Source organism: Homo sapiens, chromosome 3, assembly GCF_000001405.40.
Source record: "Homo sapiens chromosome 3, GRCh38.p14 Primary Assembly".
Classification (NCBI taxonomy): domain Eukaryota; kingdom Metazoa; phylum Chordata; class Mammalia; order Primates; family Hominidae; genus Homo; species Homo sapiens.
Window position 1 is genome coordinate 12,535,331 of NC_000003.12, and position 4,445 is coordinate 12,539,775.

The 4,445-nt window shown below is 42.7% G+C and overlaps 1 protein-coding gene across 15 annotated transcripts in view; it reads left to right on the plus strand.

Moving 5' to 3' along the window:
- The window catches only part of TSEN2 (tRNA splicing endonuclease subunit 2), a 59,394-nt gene extending 55,100 nt beyond the window's left edge, over positions 1-4,294 (plus strand). For 10 of the 15 annotated variants that reach the window (XR_007095740.1, XR_001740289.3, XR_001740291.2 and 7 more), the window contains one exon: positions 3,831-4,294. Coding sequence is in view for 1 of the 15 variants with exons in the window: in NM_001321278.2 (NP_001308207.1) it covers positions 3,831-4,043 (213 nt within the window). In the remaining 14 variants the exon portion in view is untranslated. Of the gene's footprint in view, positions 1-3,471 lie in introns of all 15 variants that reach the window. The other 5 variants (XR_007095741.1, XR_007095739.1, XR_007095737.1 and 2 more) reach the window with 1 other exon arrangement.

The window sequence follows — 4,445 nt, forward strand, 5'->3', positions numbered from 1 at the left end:
TGGAAAATTTGAGTCTATCTAATTTTGTGAAATATAGGGATGCCTTTTACATGATGTAAAAGTCATATTTGTAAAATGGTTAAACTAGGAGGCAATATTTTTATTGCAAGTATGATCTCTTAAGTGAAAGGTTTCTGTCATTTAAAATTTTTAGAGTCTTTATATTTTCATAAACAGTATTTCAAAGGCAAATGTTCTTTCTAACGTTGTGTGTGTGTGAGATGGAGTTTTGCTCTTGTTGCCCAGGCTGGAGTGCAGTGGTGAGATCTTGGCTCACTGCAACCTCCACTTCCTGAGTTCAAGCGATTCTCCTGTCTCAGCCTCCCAAGTAGCTGGGATTACAAGTGCCCGCCACCATGCCTGGCTAATTTTTGTATTTTTAGTAGAGACAGGGTTTCACCATGTTGGCCAGACTGGTCTCGAACTCCTGACCTTAGATAATCTGCCTGCCTCGGCCTCCCAAAGTGCTGGGATTTTCCTAACTTTTAAATGGCACATTCTGGTAAAGTAGAATCAGAAAACTCGGGTCCACATTTCAAATCACCACTGGGAAAACAGGGGCGACGTTGGAAACGTTGCTTGATCACTCCGAGCCTTGGTTTCCTCAACAGTAAAATAAGAATAATTACCACCTCCTCAGTTGCTTTGCAGACTGAATGAAATGAGATGACATACAAAAGCGTCTGGCACACAGTAGGTGTACTTTTCCCCTTTCAGACAAAGTGTAAGCATTGCCATCCTTATTTTCTCTAGGAAGTGCAAAGCCTATTTTATGCCCTGGTAGGTGAGTCAGTGGAGGAGAAGAAGGTGGTAGAAAAATAGCTGGAGGTAAAGTAGTGAAGACAGCAGAGGAGATTGGGAGGAGAGGCAATACTGTAGTAAGCACCTGCTATACACAGGGAGCTAGATGCAGCCATTGTGGGGTTTTGTTTTGTTTTGTTTTTTAGTAATGGTAGGTTTTCCTGGTTCTAGGAGTAATTCATGCATGCTGTAGAGGCTTTGGAAGATTACCTTTGTATAGATCATTTTAGTGTTTCAGATAGGAAACACTGTGGCACTTGCTGTGAAAAGGATCCTGGTGGTCATCCCATGAACATTGATTGAGTCCCAGATGTGTGCTCCGGGGAGTGCTGAACAATGGAATAAAGAAGCACATCTCAGGAGGTGCTGGGAAGAAACTTGGGATTTCATCTGGGGAACAGAGTTGCTGCCAGTGCTTCAGTTAGCATTTAGCTGGTACGATAAAGGAAACTTAATCTAAGGAGTCTCAGTTCATAATTCTACAGACTGAGCAACATTGCCATCTGTTGGTGTAAATCAATGGCTGATTTCCTTTATTAGGGGCAAAACCTATAGATTGGTATGTGGTCTTATTTATAAGAGGAGGGGGCCAGGCGCGGTGGCTCATGCCTATAATCCTAGCACTTTGGGAGGCCGAGACGGGTGGATTGCTTGAGGCCAGGAGTTCAAAAACTAGAGTGGCCAACATGGTGAAACCCCGTCTCTACTAAAAATACAAAAAATTAGCCGGACGTGGTGGCAGGCACCTGTAATCCCAGCTACTCAGGAAGCTGAAGCAGGAGAATCACTTGAACCCGGGAGGTGGGAGGTTGCAGTGAGCTGAGAGCACGTCACTGCACTCCAGCCTGGGCAACAAGAGCAAAACTCCGTCTCAAAAAAAAAAAAAGGAATTCGTAGCCTGCTGAAGTGAGAGAGAAGAAATATGAGGCCAGCTCTTGCCAATGTCACCTCCAGGTTGGAGAGCACCCCCTAAAATAAGAAATGGGGACCATCTAAAGCTTTCCTTGAAAATTAAGGGGTGAGAATCCCAGCACTTTGGGAGGCTTAAGTGGGAGGATCACTTGAGACCAGCCTGGGCAACATAGTGAGACCCCGTCTTTACAAATAATTTTAAAAAATTAGCTGGGTGTGGTAGCATGCATCTGTAGTCCCAGCCACTGGGAAGGCTGAGGTGGGAGAATTGCCTGAGCCCAGGAGGTTGAGGCTGCAGTGAGCCGTGATTGTGCCTCCGGAATCCAGCCTGGGCAACAGAGGAAGACCCTGTCTCCAAGAAAATAAATAAATGAAAAAGAAAAGAGCTGCAGCCCCTAAGGGAAATTAGCATGAAATAGGCATTTCTTATATTATTTATTTTAGCTGACTTTTATTGTTTACCTCCTTTCCATGTTTGAATGTTGATAAAAGCAAATCCTCATTTTCTCCTTTTTCTTCTCTAATGATGGCAAAGTATTGACCCAGTTTCTGCACATACTAGGTACAGTTGGTCCCTTTCGATTTGCTGGGGTTGTCCTCTTGACCACTGCAGTGTGGCCCAGGGGTTAAGGGCACAGCTTTCATGGTCAAACCCTGGTTTGAACCCCAGTTTTGCCACTGTATGACTTTGGACATTTCCTCAATTTCCCTTTTCATCTATAAAAGAAGCATAATGTTAAGACCCACCTCAGAGGATGGTCTTGAGGATTGACAAGGAAGAATAAGTGTTTCTTCTGGTGGGGAGTCCTTTATGAATACTCATTAAATGCAGCTGCCGTTACTACTAATAATGAGTAAAGAATTAGACTAGAGAAGCTGAATCCTAGTATAAAATGTGAAGAAATGGGGGCAAATTGGAATTCTTTCATCTTTACCCTCTGGGGTTTTGTTGATTTCTTGAACACCATGGAATACTAGTCATAGTTCTGCTTAAAATGGTATCAAATTCTGGGTGGGCAGTTTTGTGTTTGAAGGAAAGTACCTGAGCTTGTAAATGCAAATGTCGCTATGCCATGCATTCTTTCCCATTGACGTTAACTGTGCTGAAACATGGACTAAATGCCTATTTGGAAACAAGCTTTAAGGATCTGTAGCAAGTTTTCTGAATATCTTTATTACTAATGTTAAAGGATAAAACACATTAAAGTTTATTTGAGCAAACAGCCATTCGTGAATCAAGCCGCACCAAAACTGAAGTGGTTCGGGCTCCCGAAAGAGGGTGTGAAGGGAGGCTTTTAGAGGGTGTGTGAGGAGGCACAGGAGAGAAGTTGGTTGGTTAAAGTTTGAGCAGTTGTCTTATTTAGGTTATCCCAGTGGCAAGTATCTGATTGTGTAACTAACGCTCAGTTGGCCATTTAGGATTGGCTGATCTGAAGTTTCATTTAGTTTAATTTGGAACTGGGTGTTGGATCCATCTCGGTGTAATGGCTTCCCCCTAAGTTATTTTAACACGAGGCGGTTATTGGTACCTTTAAGATGGGTTTCATTTTTGGAAATTAGACATCAGTTAGTACCAAGGCTGGGGAATAAGATTAAGTGAAGTAGTACATCACATTTGGTCAAAAACAACCAAGTTCTGGAAGAAGTTTCCAAAGAGGAATTTGGGAATGTTTTGCATGTTGGCCTTTTGAAGTTCGATGATTGTTTCAGTGCACAAACTCCAACATACTTGTTAAAAATTACCTCATTTCTTTACAGTTTCTCATCCCAGTTTCCCCAGCCTCCTGTGAAGGTGTCAGAGAAAGAAGATAGCCCTCTCTTCATGTGCTTTCTGAACTCTGCCTTTTCAGTGGGCAGAGGAAGTGCTTTGTAGCAGCAAACCCAACCCCTGAGCCTCCATGTGTCGGGTCAGGCAAAATGAAATTGACACAGGCTGGAATTTTACTGATTTCAGTCATTGCTGGGCTCGTTTGTGCAAATAGACTCAGAAGAGCTCCTTTAAAAGGAGTGACCATTTCCTGATTTAGATTCTGAGGGGGTTTTTGGTTTTTTTTACTGTTGTTCACTATCATGAGCTTACCATGTGCTTTTTTCTTTTTTTTTTTCTTGTGATGTAGTCTCGCTCTGTCGTCCAGGCTGGAGTCCAATGCTGCGATCTTGGATCACTGCAACCTCTGCCTGCTGGGTTTAAGCGATTCTCATGCCTCAGCCTCCTGAGTAGCTGGGATTACAGGCACGCACCACCACACACGGCTAATTTTTGTATTTTTAGTAGAGACGGGGTTTCACTATGTTGGCCAGGCTGGTCTGGAACTCCTGACCTCAAGTGATCTGCCCGCCTTGGCCTCCCAAAGTGCTGAGAGTACAGGCGTGAGCCACTGCATCCAGCTCTTAGCATGTGCTTTTAAAGTAAAAACCACGAGGAGAAGGTACTCATTACTTCATAACTTGTGTCTCACCCACCTTGCTGTCTTCACATCCCCACTTTCTGTATGCACATTGGAAGGTGAATTTGTTCAGCTCACATTAATTTATAGGAATAATTTTCATTGCTCTGTGAATAAAATGTGCTACCACTTTATGCTGTAAATGGATTCTTAGTTTAAAAACCTCATTGATATGAAAATAATTTTGTTGGAATGCATATAATTTTTAAAACCTAGGGCAATTTTTATTTTATGAAGTCTTATGATGTAGTAAGCTGACATATGCTTGAAGGAAAGCCATACACG